Consider the following 16,331-nt stretch of genomic DNA (forward strand, 5'->3'; position numbering starts at 1 on the left):
CACTGACAAGGACTCTGATTTCCGTTCAGTTAAAGCAGCTATCTCAGCTTTGTTACTGCAGTATTTGATCCTCTTCTCTTTTCTGCTCTCTCTCTTCTATGAAGGTCACCTCTCTCTCTTAGCCATGTGTCAGAATCTATTCCACTTCTCTCATATTTTCTAAGTCAGATAGAGAAGGATGCTACCTCTCTATTCATTCTGATATTTTATTTTGAAACAGTTATAAGGGACACATCTAAAGATTTTAAGTAGTAGTAGATAATCTCATGCCTTTTTTCTTTTTTCCTAAATTTTTTTCATGATAAAAGTAATAAAGGCTTATTGTACAAAATTTGGAAATTCCAGAAATGTACAAAGTATAAAAATGGTAGTGCAGATCAGACACATTACCATCAGCCAGAGATAATCTCTCTCAACCAATTCTTTTTTTCCTATTCACATATTTATTTTTAGTAATATTTGGATAGCATTGTGTCCTGTTCCACCTACCATTATATTATGAGCATTTATGTCCCCATATTCTTCTTTTTTTTTTTTTTTTTGAGACGGAGTCTCGCTCTGTCACCCAGGCTGGAGTGCAGTGGCGTGATCTCCGCTCACTGCAAACTCCGCCTCCCGGGTTCATGCCATTCTCCTGCCTCAGCCTCCCAAAGTGCTGGGACTACAGGCGCCTGCCACCATGCCCAGCTAATTTTTTGTATTTTTAGTAGAGATAGCGTTTCACCGTGTTAGCCAAGATGGTCTCAATCTCCTGACCTCATGATCCGCCTGCCTCAGCCTCCCAAAGTGCTGGGATTACAGGCATGTGCCACCGCAACCGGTGGTCCCCATATTCTTAAATGTGATTTTAATTTCTACATAATACTTATAATTTGTTTCATTCTTCCCCCATTATAGAGCATTTAGATATTTTCCAGTTACTATTTTAAATAATGTTATTGAGAGCATCTTTCTTGCCATCTTTAAGTTATCCTTCTTCATTAAGAGAAATAGATTATTCCAATAATTCTATGCACATAATTTCAGTGACCTAGGGGAGATGAGGGGCCAAGAGAGACTCTATGACTTGCCTGAGGCCATATAACTACTTATTGGAAATGCGGAATTCTTTGATATTTTCAGTTTCTTTATCTATCATGATCGAACCCTAGGCTTTTTAATTGCCTTTTTTTAAACCAGTTTCATTCCATTTTATAACAACTCCTGCCACTGCATTCCCATCCTTTCCTTGCAGCCCCACCCAAAAGCCACCTGCCTGGTCCTTAGGGCTTCCCTCTTCCCATTTGCCCGGAAAACCACTATCAGGTGATTCCGATGATCCTCCTTATATCACTATCAGGCTCAAAAACTTCATTGACTTCTTAGTGAAACCCTGCATGAAATATAAACAACTTGCCTGACTCTCAAAGCTCCACTTTTCCCTTCAATCTTTCCTCATCCACTCCCACTTGTCTGCTGTTCCCTATCACATTCCCAGCTTCCTGCCTTCTTCTTATATTTCTTTCTTTTTCTTTTCTTTCTTTCTTTCTTTTTTTTTTTTTTTGAGATAAAGTCTCACTCTGTTGCCCAGGCTGGAGTGCAGTGGTACAGTCTTGGCTCACTGGCACAGTCTTAGCTCACTGCAACCTCCACCTCCCGGGTTCAAGCGATCGTCCTGCCTCAGCCTCCCAAGGAGCTGGGATTACAGGTGCATGCCACCACTCCCAGCTAATTTTTGTATTTTTAGTAGAGACGGGGTTTCAGCATGTTGGCCATGCTGGTCTTGAATTCCTGACCTCAAGAGATCTGCCCGCCTTGGCCTCCCAAAGTGCTGGAATTACAGGTGTGAGCCACTGCACCCAGCCTTCTCCTTATATTTCTTAACCAGTCAGAATACTCCTTTGTTCCTCCTAATCTCTTTAACTTCATGCAGTCCTCTAAGGACCAGTGTGAGTCTCATATATTCCATGAAATAGAATGAACTTCCTATTGTATCTGAAATTGTTCCATTTGAGTTGTAGTCTGAAATGAACCACTTTCACTGGAAAATGTGGGGGCAAATAATTAACTCTGCTGAGCCTATTTCTGCATATGCAAAATAAGAATAATTTCACTAATACCTGCCCTTTCAACCTCCCAAGATCCTAGGAAGGATTGGATATGTGTTATAAAGTTTTGGTGAGCTGTTAACTGGTATACAAATGAGGGAAAATATTCTCCACTGTGTCCACTCATAGCTGTCACTTTAAACCATTTCAGTATCCAAGTCTGTACAACATATAACACAACACTGAGTTATGTTTCATCCCATCAAATTCTCTCATTGTCTTATGGATGCTAATCATTTTTCCTCAGCTTGGTTGTGAAGTCTCTCAATGTAATACAGTATCTAATATTACCTCTCTAACCTGGGCATTGCTGTAATGACTACCAGTCTAATCTAGATAAGTCCTAGCTGGTAAGGTCTGGATGGGGTCATAATGGGATTTAGACATAAGTGGATGAGTCAGTGAGGCATCGGTGTTCCAGAATTTTTCTGGAGAAAAAAAGTGTTACACTTCAGGAGTCCAGGAAGACTGGGATTAAGGTTAGCATACACCTTGTGAAGTCTATGTACTCTCAATTTAGATTTTGTTTCTTGGATATATTTACTGAATTCTTATAGCAACCCATATTAGGCATGCTTATTGTTGGAAAGCAGAAGCAAGAATGTCCTTCAGACACCTAACCCAGCCTTTGGTTACCCCAGTCAGAAGGGTCAGGCTACCCAATCATGATATGTTGTTAAACATGGCCTCCTGATGATCTGCTTATAGATTATTCATTTAATCTGAAATTTACTTCTCAGTTTTAATTTTCTAGTTTCTAGAGTCCTAAATAATATTTTTTCCTAACAGGTCTACCCTGAAAAAAGACAGTTCTAAGGTAAAGATTAGGACTAATGACAAGAGATAGAGATAAGGCTAGAGTTAGGGTTAGCACTACCTTTAGGTTCAGAGTTAAGGTTATGATTAGGTTTATGGTTAGTGTTGGATTAGGGTTCAGTTTAGGATGATGGTGAGATTTAGGTTCAGGCTTAGGGTTAGCATTTATGCTAGGGTTAGTGTTTGTGTTAACTCTACCCTTAAGGCTACAGGTTAGGGTGATGTTAAGGTTAGGATTAAGTTAGATTCTAGGATACAAAGGACAGTTTTACAAAAGATATTCTTGCAAATGTTACTTCATATGATAAAAGAAAACATCTTCCACATTTTTACCCATTTCCTTGGAACTAGCAAAAATACTATTGTAGTAGAATGCCTATTTTATAGTATTCCACGATTAAAAACAACTATAAAGTTTTCCATAGTTGATCAGAGTATTTTTAAATCTCTAGTACTGAAAAGGCAAGTAACACCTTTAATGTCAATGTTAACACCCGAGAGGTCAATTTGTCAAGGGTATTCAATTTATACTACCTTCTTCCCCTGACATTCTCAGCCACCAACATAAAAGCTGATACCATTAAAGTAAAATGCCATGATCTGAAATGCACTTACATTTTATCTGAAAACATTTATATATATATAATATACAGACATTATTGCCTATTATATATGTAATATACAGACATTATTGCCTATTATATATGTAATATACAGACATTATTGCCTATTATATATGTAATATACAGACATTATTGCCTATTATATATGTAATATACAGACATTATTGCCTATTATATATGTAATATACAGACATTATTGCCTATTATATATGTAATATACAGACATTATTGCCTATTATATATGTAATATACAGACATTATTGCCTATTATATATGTAATATACAGACATTATTGCCTATTATATATGTAATATACAGACATTATTGCCTATTATATATGTAATATACAGACATTATTGCCTATTATATATGTAATATACAGACATTATTGCCTATTATATATGTAATATACAGATATTATTGCCTATTATATATGTAATATACAGATATTATTGCCTATTATATATGTAATATACATATATTACATATTATATATGTAATATACATATATTACATATTATATATGTAATATACATATATTACATATTATATATGTAATATACATATTAATTTACATATGTAACACGTATTACATATGTATTATATGTAATATATGTATATATGTAATATTATATGTAATAATATTACATACAACTAATTATTGTAACATGTAATTATATGTAATATTATATTACATATAATATTACATATTACATATTACATATATTATATGTAATATTACATATAATATTATATATTATATGTAATATTACATATAATATTATATATTATACATATATTATATGTGATATTACATATATTATATATGTGATATTACATATATTATATATGTGATATATATGATATATGTAATATATGTATATTACATATATTAATATACTTATGTAATATACATATTAATATACATATATATACACATACTTTTGAAGTACCAGTCACTTGTCAAGCACCATAAACCAAAACACAATCTGTTTAATAAGGTTTCCAAATCATTAGACGTCACTCAAATAGATACTTTCAGCTAGACCTCACTCTCCAACAACTTTAAGTGTCTAGTGACTGAATGATGTCCTCACATAGCACCTGAACTTCAACAGGTCCAAACATGGTCTCCACAGCCCTCGCCCAACACACCTGCTTCTCCTTCTGTTCTTCCATTTGATTTAATGGCAGCACCATTTACCAAGTGCTCTAAACCAGAAACTTTTCATCAACTCATTTTTCCTCACCTCCCCCTGTCCCATCCTGTTGTGAAAATTACCTCAAACCTTCTTTCTGCCCCTCTCTTTATTTCTATTATTTCTTGCCTAAACCATTTGCAACAGCCTCTCAAATAACCTTGAAATAACTTTCCTACCTCCAAGTTCTTCCTTGTCCAATCTGTCCTCCCCACACTGTCACCAGAATGTGCCATCTTTGCTCTACTACCCACCAGTTGAAAATCTTTGCTAGGTTCTGTTCTAGAGTCTCTTTCATGAAAACTTTCTCATTCCTCTGTTGGCCTGGAATTTTCCACTTCCTTCTTTGCACCCTCCCATACCTTGTACATCTATGGTTGCGCTTACCATAGTTGATTACACGTGTTTCCCTTGAGTAGATTATAAACTTCTCAAAATCAAGATGATCTCATTCACTCCTGTACAACCAGTTCACTGAACAGTGCCTGGCATATGGTAGGTGCTCACAACATTTTGCTGAAAAAAAGAAAAATAGCTTACAAGACCAAGTAACACTCACAGATCCTCTTTATATAATAGTGTGTCCGGTCCCAAAATAAAACTTATGCTGTGTAAGGCTTCTTAAAAAAGTACACCCTGCATCTTAACAGGAAGTTACAGATTAATAAACAGCTGACAGAATGAACTAAACAGCATCCAGTGACTCACCAGGGGACCGTTCAATCGCTGCTCACTAGATTCAGGGAGAGAGAAGATGGGGCCAAACCATCATTCCCCATTGACGGGAAGATTTTGCAAAGATGCTTGAAAGCCCTGGGTATCAGGGCGATGCCTATTTGCCTACACTGTAGTGGAAATTCAGGAACAGAAAAAGGCCATAGCAAAAATGAATTTGGGGGGCTGTGTGAATACAGACACCAGATAAATACCAAATATGTGGCCACAGAATGTCTAACACACCCTACTTCATCCCTTGTGTAACATACAGTCTTGCATGAGGTATATGCTCAGTTTTTAAGTTACTCTTCATGAGAATATGTGGTGAATGCATAGACGAGACATGGATTTACCCTGGATTTTCTTCTGCCTTTGCCACCTCTGCAACAACACCAAGACCAACCCCTTATCTTCCTCCTCCTCGCCCTACTCAACATGAAGACAAACAGAATGAAGGCCTTTGTGATGATCCACTTCCACTTAATAAATAGTAAATATATTTTCTCTTCTCATGATTTTCTTAATAGTTTTTCTCTAGCTTACATTACTATAAGAATATTTTATGTGTACAATACACATAAAATACAAAATATGTGTTAATTGTTTATGTTATCAGTAAGGCTTTCAGTCAACAGTAGGCTATTAGTAGTTAAGTTTTGGGGGAGTCAAAAGTTATACTCAGGTTTTTGACTTCAAGAAGGGTGGGAGGATGTGGGGGTAGGAGGGGCTGTCTCTAACCTCCTAGGCATTCAAGGGCCAACTCTATATGGTTTTCTGTAACTACCGGCTGTCCACACTGTGCGGAACTAAGACGAGGTTGAGGAAGCTGGCTTCACAATTTTAAAATCCAAGAGCTCAGCTGCCGGTCTTCATTACAGAGCTGAGGGCCCAAAAGGCACAGCCTTGGGCTCAGGCTGCCTGGAGCAGATGCCTCCCATCTGAAGCATTTCTCGCAGACATAATGTTAAAACCCAGCACCTTGGAAGGTTAGATCTGATTGAGAACTCCCATTGGCAGCTCTCTCCTGGAAAGGTGTATGTGGCCAGAGGAAACAGGAGAGGAGGACTGGCCAGCGACAATATACACACCCATCATGGCCAGACCATATATAAAAATAGAACTCTGACCCGTGACCCCTGCAGCAACCTGACCCAGAGCGTCAAGACTTGATCAATAACCACAAGCTTCCCTAAGGTTTGCCCTTCCTTTCCCCCTTCCAACTCAGGACCAACCCGAGAAAGCCAAATATGTTTCCCAAGCTAATTGCATGGGATACCTGCCTCCAGGTCCCCGACGCCAGCAGCCTCCAATCGGGGCACAACTTAAAGCCTTCCCTTCTCCACGATGAAGGGTCCCCACTCCCCGGCCTGCCTCTGAGTCTTGCCACAGCAAGCTCTGAATAAACTGCCTCCCACTACCGTGGCCCTGGTGGATTTCCACCTGGGCGTCTGGAGCACACCGGGAGCTTGCCTACTGTGATGGAAGGCGCCTCTCCCTTGGTGGGGTTAGAGAGGTGGAACTGGAATTGGAAGGGTCACGTTCCAGTTCGGTGGGAGGAGTTGGGTGCAGGTAGATAGCCAGGGTGACGCCTCAGGCCAGGAGGTGGAGGTAGCTGGAGAAAGGAGGAAGGAGGCAAAGAAATCCTCCCTGCAGCGGTCCCCTGCGCCGGGCGCGGGAACAAGGGATGTGCGCGGCTCGTCCTTCCCCGGCCCGGCTGCTGAGGTGGCGGTGACTGTGGGGCAGCCGGGCCGTGCACGTCTGGAGACCGCCCGGGCGCTGGCCGCGGCTGGACCCCGGGAGCCGAACCGCGGGAGGGCGCTGTGCGGAGCCGGTGGTGGCCTGCTCGACGGAGGTGGCCGCCGTCACCCTACTGGTCCTGTGATACGTGCCCAAGGACTGCCCGGGAGCCAGACCTGCCAGCGGGTGCAGGACACCAAGGTCAAGACTGGAGCAGGGAGAAATAGTGCTGCGGCCTGGAGAAGCGCATCAGCCAGGACCAGAGGACATCTGCGAGCTGCCGGGCGGCCAAGGGGAGGAAGTCCGGCTGGTGAACCTCGTGGTGGCGATGTGGCGCAGGTCCCCTAGGGTACCATGCTGCCTGCTACCACAGCATCTTCAGGGAGGGTCACAGAAGAGGAGGAAGGCGCTGAACCCAGATTCCCGCCTGCTGTCAGCGTCCTAGGCCAGGGAGGGCTCTGGTTATAACTCACAAGCAGGCCTCATTGTTTTTCTGCTGGTTTTTTTGAAACTAAGAACAAAGGGAGTTAAAACAAAACAAAAACAGATTCTCATGGGACCAGCTGGGACACAACAGCCTGAGAGGGTGAAGGCAAAATGCGGCTGATTCAAACATACACCAAAAAACATATAATAATAATTTTGCAAGACAAACTTATAAAATTATCCATAATGATTGGCAAGTGTGGTTGGCTCATGGCTATTTTCCTCATTGTCTCCTTAATGACAAATTTGGCAATACAGACTTTTGGGACTTGAGACAACCAAAGAATTTTAGATTGCATTGCAGTTTATACAGAATATATTATTGAGTTTTTCATTATGAGAATAACAATCTTGGTGGTGACTGTTCCTGAAAGCTTTTCTTTTGCAGTTCCCCTTTCCTTGGTTTATTCTGTAAAGAAAATGAAAGCTAATCACTCTGTGAGACATTTGGGTGCTTGTAAAACTATGGGAAATGCAACAGTCTTCTGTTCTGATAAAGCAAGCACATTACTATTCCAGGAGTCCAGGCTTCCATTGGTAAAGCTCATTGTGTAAGTCCCATATCCATTTAGAAATACGTTTTTGACAGGTATTGCTGTTCATTGTTCTTATAACAATTTTTTAGTTGTTGAGGGTCCACCCAAACAGATTGGCAATATAATAGAATGTGTCTTTTTGGGATTTCTTCATCATTTCAGAATAGATGTTGAGAAAGAAAAGAAAAAAGAAAGTAAGGGAGGGAGGGAGGGAGAGAAGGAGGGAGGGAGGGAGGGAAAGAGAGAGAAGGAAAAGAAAGAGCATACCACAGGCTCATGCCTGTAACCCCAGCAGTTTGGGAGGCTGAGGCAGGCAGATCACTTGAGGTCAGGAGTTCGTGACCAGCCTGGCCAATATAGTGAAACTCCGTCTCTACTAAAAATACAAAAATTAGCCGGGTATGTTAGCGGTCACCTGTAATTCCAGCTACTTGGGAGGTTGAGGCATGAGGATCACTTGAACCCGGGAGGTGGAGTTTGCAGGGAACAAAGATCATGCCATTGCACTCCGGCCTGGGTGACAGAGTGAGACTCCATCTCAATTAAAAAAAAAAAAAAGCATACCACATAAGAGTTTATAGCAAATATTAGCATATATCTTCAACTCAGAAAATCTATGACTACTGTCTTCAAACTGCCCGACGAGAGTTTTTGGTTGTTCAAAGAGGGAGTCTCAGAACTATCACTTAACAGGGGTGTCAAATCCTGAATGAAGAGGGAATCCCTGTGTTTTCCAAAGTGTCATGAAACCAATGGCTTGTGCAGGGCTAAAAATACTGTGCCTGATATTCAGAAATTCTGCAGATACTGACAACAAACCTGGCTGAGCAATGCATAAGATATTACTACAGATCTTGCATGAATTGCTTTTGTAGGCATTGAAGATGCTATGAGAGCCAAGGTGTAAGTTTCCTGTGGCTGCTTCAACAAAGCTCTGCAACCTGAGTAGCTTGAAACAACAGGAATGTATTTTTATCCAGTTCTAGAGCCCAGAGGTCTCAGAGGCCATGTTCCTTCTGAAGGCTCCAGGGAAAAATTCTTCCTTGCTTTTCTCACAGATTCTGGTGGTTGCTGGCAAACTTTGGCATTCCTTGACTTGGAGCTTCTAGCTTCATATGGCCTTCTGTCTTCTGTATTTCTGTGTCCAAATTTCTATCTTTTTTTCAGGCCAGCACTTTACTGGATTAGGGCCCTCCGCAGTCTAATGTGACTTCATCTTGATTACATTTACAAAGACCTTATTCCAAATAAGGTCATGTTCACAGGAACCAGAGTTCGGACTTGAATACATCTTTTTGGGAGACATATTTCAACCGTCAACACCTGAGGTGCCAAATGCAGTTTCATAATGCCAGCATACTAGATTCACTGCGTGTGTGATTCTAGTGACAATCTCCACATTGTAAGGGCCGTTGCCCTGAAATATAGCATTGTAAAGGTCCCTGAAGGTTACCCATGTTTAGAGGGTACAGATTTCAAGAAACTAATGCGTAAAAATGACAATGGAGAAATTGAAAAAGAAAAAGGGCTCAAAAACAAGCGTTGGTCAAAATTTCATGTACTTGCAAGATCCAGCTGGTGATAGTTAATTTTCTGTGTTCATTTGACTGGGTTGAGGGATGCCTAGCTAACTGCTAGAAACATTGTTTCTGGGTGTGTCTTTGGGGCTGTTTCTGAAGGGGCTGTTAGCATTTAAATCAGTATACTAAAGATTGCCCTCACTTAATCTTTTGAGGGCCAAATAGAACTAAAGGGCAGAGGAAGGGTGAATTCATTCTCCCTGTTTGATCTGGGACATCTGTATTCTAATTCCCTGGGACATCAGCACTTCTCGGGCCTTCTTGGACTAGGAATTATAGCAGCGGCTCTCCTGGTTCTCAGACCTTCAGACTCCGACTGAATTACACCACCAGCTCTCGTGGTTCTCCAACACACAGAAGGCTAATTGTGGGACTTAGCACCCTCCATAATCATGTTAGTCAATTCCTATCATGAATCTTCTCCTATATAACTTGTTGCTTCTATTTCTCTAGAGAACCCTGGCTGATACCCCAGCCTTGCTGTTAAATATACTATTACTTAGTTAAAATGTGTAATGAATAATGTTTCAAGACAGAGGCAAATTGTAACAGTTACTGGTGATGGTCCTCGTGATGGCCCAGTGTTAAAGAGAGCAGATGTTGGATCTGCAACGGGATTAACAGAAACAAAGATAGCTAAAGAAGTTTCCTATATCGTTCTTACCGATGACGACCTTGCAAGTATTGTTAAAGCTGTCACATGCGGTAGAAATGTTTATGACAGCATCTTCACATTCCTTCCATTTCAGTTGGCTGTCAGTGTCACACTTGTCGCCTTCACAGCTGCATGTGTTGTTGTCCAGGATTCTCCTTCTAAAGCTGGTCAAACCCCTCTGGTGAATCTCATAGTGGATGCTTTTACTTCCTTCGCTCTGGCAACTGAAAAGACTATGGCATCACTTCTGCTTTGTAAATCTTATGGTGGAAAAAAATCTTTCCTGTCCATTTATAAAATTGGTGTATAACAATTTTATATACAGTGTATAGTTACTTTTAGTCTTATGTTTGCTATAAACTCCTTTTTTAATTTTGAAAGTGGAAGAAACACCATCCTACATGCTCTTCCTTCTCTCCTTCTACCTATTTTGTAATGATATGTTTATAATGATATATTTATAATTTAGTACTTCTGTTGGATGCAACATATATATGTATATATGTATATGTATATATGTATATATGTATATGTATATATGTGTATATATGTATATGTATATATGTATATGTATATATGTGTATATATATGTATATGTATATATGTGTATATATATGTATATGTATATATGTATATATGTATATATATATATGGAGTTTCATTCTTTGTTACCCAGACTGGAGTGCAGTGGCACGATCTTGGCTTACTGCAACCTTGCCTTCTGGGTTCAAGCGATTCTCCTGCCTCAGCCTCCCGAGTAGCTGGGATTACAGGTGCCCACCACCATGCCCAGCTAATTTTTTGTATTTTTAGTAGAGATGGGGTTTCACCATATTGGGCAGGCTGGTCTCGAACTCCTGACCTCAGGTGATCCACCTGCCTCGGCCTCCCAAAGTGCTGGGATTACAGGCATGAGCCACCGCACCTGGCCAACTTTTTAATGAAATGAATGCCAGGAAGCTTCATTGCAAAACAAACATATTTGAAAGACTTTTCGGTAATATCTTTTGTCTAACGGTCAGGTGAACATTTGCTATATCATGTGGTATGGTGCAATACTGGAGATAGGTGTTCCACTGTACAAATCTTAGTCCAGACATATGACCATGGTGCATTTTCCAAGGAGTTTTACTGGGGGTTCAGCTCTTTTTTTTTTTTTTTTTTTTTTTTTTGAGACGGAGTTTCGCTGTGTCGCCCAGGCTGGAGTGCAGTGGCGCGATCTCGACTCACTGCAAGCTCCGCCTCCCGGGTTCACGCCATTCTCCTGCCTCAGCCTCCCGTGTAGCTGGGACTACAGGCGTGAGCCACTGCGCCCGGCCTCAGCTCTTAACTATAGTTCCCAATAATTGTGTGGAGCCCATCATAAGACTTTCACTGGGGGAATGATTTAGTAAGTTATTTACTTAATTTACTAAATATACGTCAGAGTCAGAATTAAAAATGCAAAGCAAAGATCCATTTTGGGTGCTGTGCTGAGGTAGAATCAGAGATCCAGTTAGAAAGATAGAAGCATGGCCGGGCATGGTGGCTCACACCTGTAGTCCCAGCTACTCTGGAGGCCAAGGCAGGAGAATTGCTTGAACTCGGGAGGCAGAGGTTGCAGTGAGGTGAGATCATGTCACTGCACTCCAGCCTGGAAGACACAGCGAGACTCTGTCAAGAAAGAAAGAAAGAAAGAGAGAGAGAGAGAGGGAGGGAGGGAGGGAGGGAGGGAAAGAAAGAAAGAGAAAGAAAAGAAAGGAAGGAAAAGGAAAGAAAGAAAAAGAAAGAAAGAAAAAGAAAGAAAGAAAGACAGAAAGAAAGAAAGAAAGAAGGGAAGGAGGGAGGGAGGGAAGGAAGGAAGAAAGGAAAGGAGGGAGGGAGTGAGGGAGGGAGGGGATGTATTTCTTCCATTCATGCACTCTGTCAGGTCACCCAGTATAAGGAAAGGAACCCTTTCCAAATTTATACACATTTTATCTTAAATACTTAAAATATCCTAATACCCCCAAAACAACTTCATTTTATCCTTTTCCTAAAATCTTAGATTTTGCTTTTATAATAAATGAATGGAGTTGTCATCACTTTTACTTTTAAAAGCTGTTTTTTGGAAGTGAAGGATACACAGAGAGCTGTATTTTAGACAGAAGGGTAACGTGAGAATTCCATATAACTAAAGCATGGACAAGAAAAAAATATTCTAACTGTTGTATTTCCTTTCATCTTTTAGCAGAAGTCCAAGAACAAAATTATGAATAAGTTAATATATTAATATTTGCTATTAATAAAAATCAACTATCTACATTATATGAGACAAAGACATGTTTAAAAGGCCAAGTAATTTATTGAAACTATTGTTATTATATACTATAGATAAAGGATACATGTTATTATAAAAACACAGGCAAGTTAGGTGCTTTCTAAAAAATATAGGCAGCTATGTTCCAATGTAACGGCTTTTGAATTAAATTGTTCTTTAAGTGCAGATACCCTTCGTGATTACTGAAAAGAAAAGGAGAAAAAATCTGAACCGTGTTTTGTCTATTTGTTATCTGGCCAAGCTACCATTGTAACTGGGTCCTTGCAGTTCATCTGAAACATAACAAGGTCTCCATAGGGAAAATGAAGCACGGGACCAGGGAAAAGTAAGGTAAACAATGGACTTTTTGCTTTTGTGACAATTTTTTTTCTTTTTTGAAGCAGAGTCTCACTCTGTTGCCCAGTCCAGAGTGCATTAGCGTGATCTTGGCTCACTGCAACCTTGGCTTCCCGGGTTCAAGTGATTCTCATGCCTCAGCCTCCCGAGTACCTGGGATTACAGGGGTGCATCACCATGCCCAGCCAATTTTTTTTTTTTTTTAAGTAGAGATGGGGTTTCACCATGTTGGCCAGGCTGGTCTTGAACTCCTGGCCTCAGGTCATCCACCTGCCTCGGCCTCCCAAAGTGCTGGCATTACAGGCATGAGCCACTGCACCTGGTCTTGTGTGGCAAATTTAATAATTGGAATGTGAGTCATCTTATATTTGGACACTTTTGCCTTAAAGATTTAGCTTTAAGGTTACATTTGGAAGATTTCACGTTTGGATTTGTCACCAAACTCCAGAAATTTTGCTCTTAATTATCCATTATGGGGAACAATAGACTCTACCCCTTTCCGTGTTTCTGTTTGATTGTTCTGCATAACAAACTTACGATGAAATGATTTTAAAATATAAGGTCTACTACACATACAGAGCCAGGGAATTTGGCCCTGTAGTTTGTTTACCTCCTTGTCTGTATAGATTCTTTCAATAAATCAGGCATTTGTTTGAAAGCTCCAGTGTCAACAGCACTGTTCTAAGTATTTTAGAGCGTTAGGGAGAACAGAGATATGCTCTCTCTCTTAGAGCAAATTTTTGAACAATAAACTTTATAAAGCAAGAATATACTTAAATAGACGCTTTTTGCTTACTGGAGAACCCACTAACTACCAAATTTACGGTTCGTAACTTCATATGCACTAGAGAACCCCATGAGAATTCAGGCTTCCCAAAGTTTAAAAAGCTTCTTACTCACTTATGATTTTGCTTTCTTTTGTTTTTTTTTATCAGTCACAACAAGCCTCAGACTTTTACTAATGGATATTGCTATTTTCTAACAAGGAGGGAATCGCTTCTCATTACCACAGTTGCAATTTGTATTTATGAGGACATAATGACAAGAACCATCTAAATATGTCTAGTAATCTGACGAGCCCAAACCCGAAGATTCTTAAGAAAATGCTTACTTTAATTCTAACATAAAAGTTAGAAACACGTCTTTTCTGAATTATTTGAATGCCTGCTAAAAGAATCAATGGATTAAAAAAAATCATTTGCTGCTTTCTTTGATTAATACAGTTAAAATAATCAGTGATTAAAAAAAAACCATGCTGTAATTGAGCTTCTATTTGAAAGTTTTGGAGAATTGTTAACTCTCAGATATCACACAGTGGGATATGCTTTAGTTTATGGGGAAGTTATATCCAAGAGTGATCGTTACTTATTTCTGATTTCTAAACAACAATGTTTGCTACTATTTTTTTGAATTATGATGCAATAATTGACTTATGAAATACATTTTTATCAACCTTTGTATAATATCAAGGCTGTTAACATTCTGAAAAAGAAAATGATATTAACAGTAATGATGCTTCTTAATTTCCTCCTTGTGTCCAAAGAAGTTGCTAACAGGACATCCTCCTGAGAAGGAAGGAAGGACTTCTCATTCTGACTCAATTATTATTCGCTTCTTTCTCTAAGCAATCCGGAGTCAGCTTTGAAAGGGGAGAATTCCTCTCTGGCCACAGCCCTGTGGAGCTGGGATGTTAGCCTGTTAAATTCATAGCTCATTTGTCCGTACCTTTCCCCACCTTCCAGCTGCAGGAATTCAATCTCCAGGCCTGGCAATAACTCGGAGGAACTAGTTCCAGGGCAGAAGAATCTCAGCTGGCACTAAAAGAAGTTACGTGGCTCCCAACCACATGGCGGCAGTCTTCGTGGTCACAAAGAGAATGGGGCTGTCCTCTTTTCCTCCACTCTTTTCTAGGACTGCTTTTCTCTTTCAGGATTGCCTCAGGTGATGATTTAAATCCAATTTATTTCACTAGTATGTGTCTGTCTTGGGGAGAGGAGTTGGTTCACCAGGACTTGAGGCAGAATCTGTTAATCCTTCCTTGCCCCTGACTCATCCCCTCCAATCTTCAGGGGAAGCTCTGCTGGTTGCCATTGGCAAAAGAACTTGCTTGCATCACAATTAGTACTCTATAGCCAAGTCTTTGCCAATAGGGTTAAGGCAACAAAAAAGTGAACTCCAGAAACATCAAGGAGAGTACTAGTGGGTTTTTTGACAAATGGGATATAACTAGCTTAGTGACCTTGTCCCACCTCATTTATTTTATGTTCTCTATTATTAGAACAATTGTCCTTCGTAAGTGGTTTTCCCTACCTGTTTTCCAAAAACTATCAGTGGATCATATTTGCTATGACATTAAATGTAACTGTGACTTGGCTTTTAAAGCCTTTCAAAATCCAGCTCCACCATGCCTTTCTGAATTCACTCCCTAAAGCTCCATAATCCTGAGTAAATTCTCATTTCAATTGGAATCATTTCCATAAATATTCATTGAGCACCTAGTTAATCCCAGACACTGTGCTATGTACTAGGAATAAATAAGATAAAGTCCCTGCCCTATAGGAGTTCAGGACATATCAGGAGAATTAACACGAATGTAGCTATAATATAATCATAATAATAACAATCATTAACTTTATTGAGCCCATTCGTATAGTCCAGGCACCGTTCTAAGCATTTCATATCAATGTCTTTAATCCTCACAACAAACCTATGAGGTGGTATCATCAGTATCCTCATTTTATAGCTGAACCTCAGAGAGGTTGTTTTCCAAGATCACACAGTTAATAAATGAGTAACTGAATCCAGACAATCTGGCTACAGAACCTACTTCCTTAACTACTATTATTATATAGATATTGTGAAGAGAGCTGTACTGGAAATGGAACAAAGGCTACAGGAACAGAAAGGATGCAATTCATTCAGCTTGGGGATATGGGAAATGGTGTCACAGAGACAATCTTGCTCTATTCCTTATTTATGTATACCCCTACCTCCTGGAAAGGAATCAGGACAGCTCACACTGGGAAAGGTATGCATTAAAGTAATGATAAAATTTAGAAATAAGGAGTCAGAACCAGGGACAATGTAAATATTGTAAGAAAATCAAGGCCAGAGGAAAAGTAAATTTCTTCTTAAAGGCATAGCTTAGTTGGCCAGGCGCGGTGGCTTATGTCTGTAATCCCAGCATTTTGGGAGGCTGAAGTGGGTGGATCATAAGGTCAGGAGTTCAAGATCAGCTTGGACAAGATGGTGAAATCCCC

At 39.9% G+C, this 16,331-nt stretch overlaps 2 long non-coding RNA genes and 1 pseudogene across 2 annotated transcripts in view; 2 read left to right on the plus strand and 1 right to left on the minus strand.

Annotated features, from left to right (window-relative positions):
* Positions 1-15,171, minus strand: part of LOC100128993 (uncharacterized) — a 61,849-nt gene extending 46,678 nt beyond the window's left edge. Inside the window, exons 1-2 of the long non-coding RNA NR_038919.1 lie at positions 14,797-15,171; positions 5,113-5,241 (exon numbers count right to left, since the gene is read on the minus strand). This is a non-coding gene — a long non-coding RNA (uncharacterized LOC100128993). The remainder of the gene's footprint in view (positions 1-5,112; positions 5,242-14,796) is intronic.
* Positions 8,086-10,522, plus strand: LOC442382 (ATPase plasma membrane Ca2+ transporting 1 pseudogene; annotated as a pseudogene).
* A 533-nt stretch (positions 15,172-15,704) lies between the features above and the next one.
* The window catches only part of LOC105379300 (uncharacterized), a 31,326-nt gene continuing 30,699 nt past the window's right edge, over positions 15,705-16,331 (plus strand). The window contains exons 1-2 of the long non-coding RNA XR_949537.2: positions 15,705-15,797; positions 15,924-16,099. This is a non-coding gene — a long non-coding RNA (uncharacterized LOC105379300). The remainder of the gene's footprint in view (positions 15,798-15,923; positions 16,100-16,331) is intronic.

The sequence above is a fragment of the Homo sapiens genome, chromosome 8 (genome assembly GCF_000001405.40).
Source record: "Homo sapiens chromosome 8, GRCh38.p14 Primary Assembly".
Taxonomy (NCBI): Eukaryota; Metazoa; Chordata; class Mammalia; order Primates; family Hominidae; genus Homo; species Homo sapiens.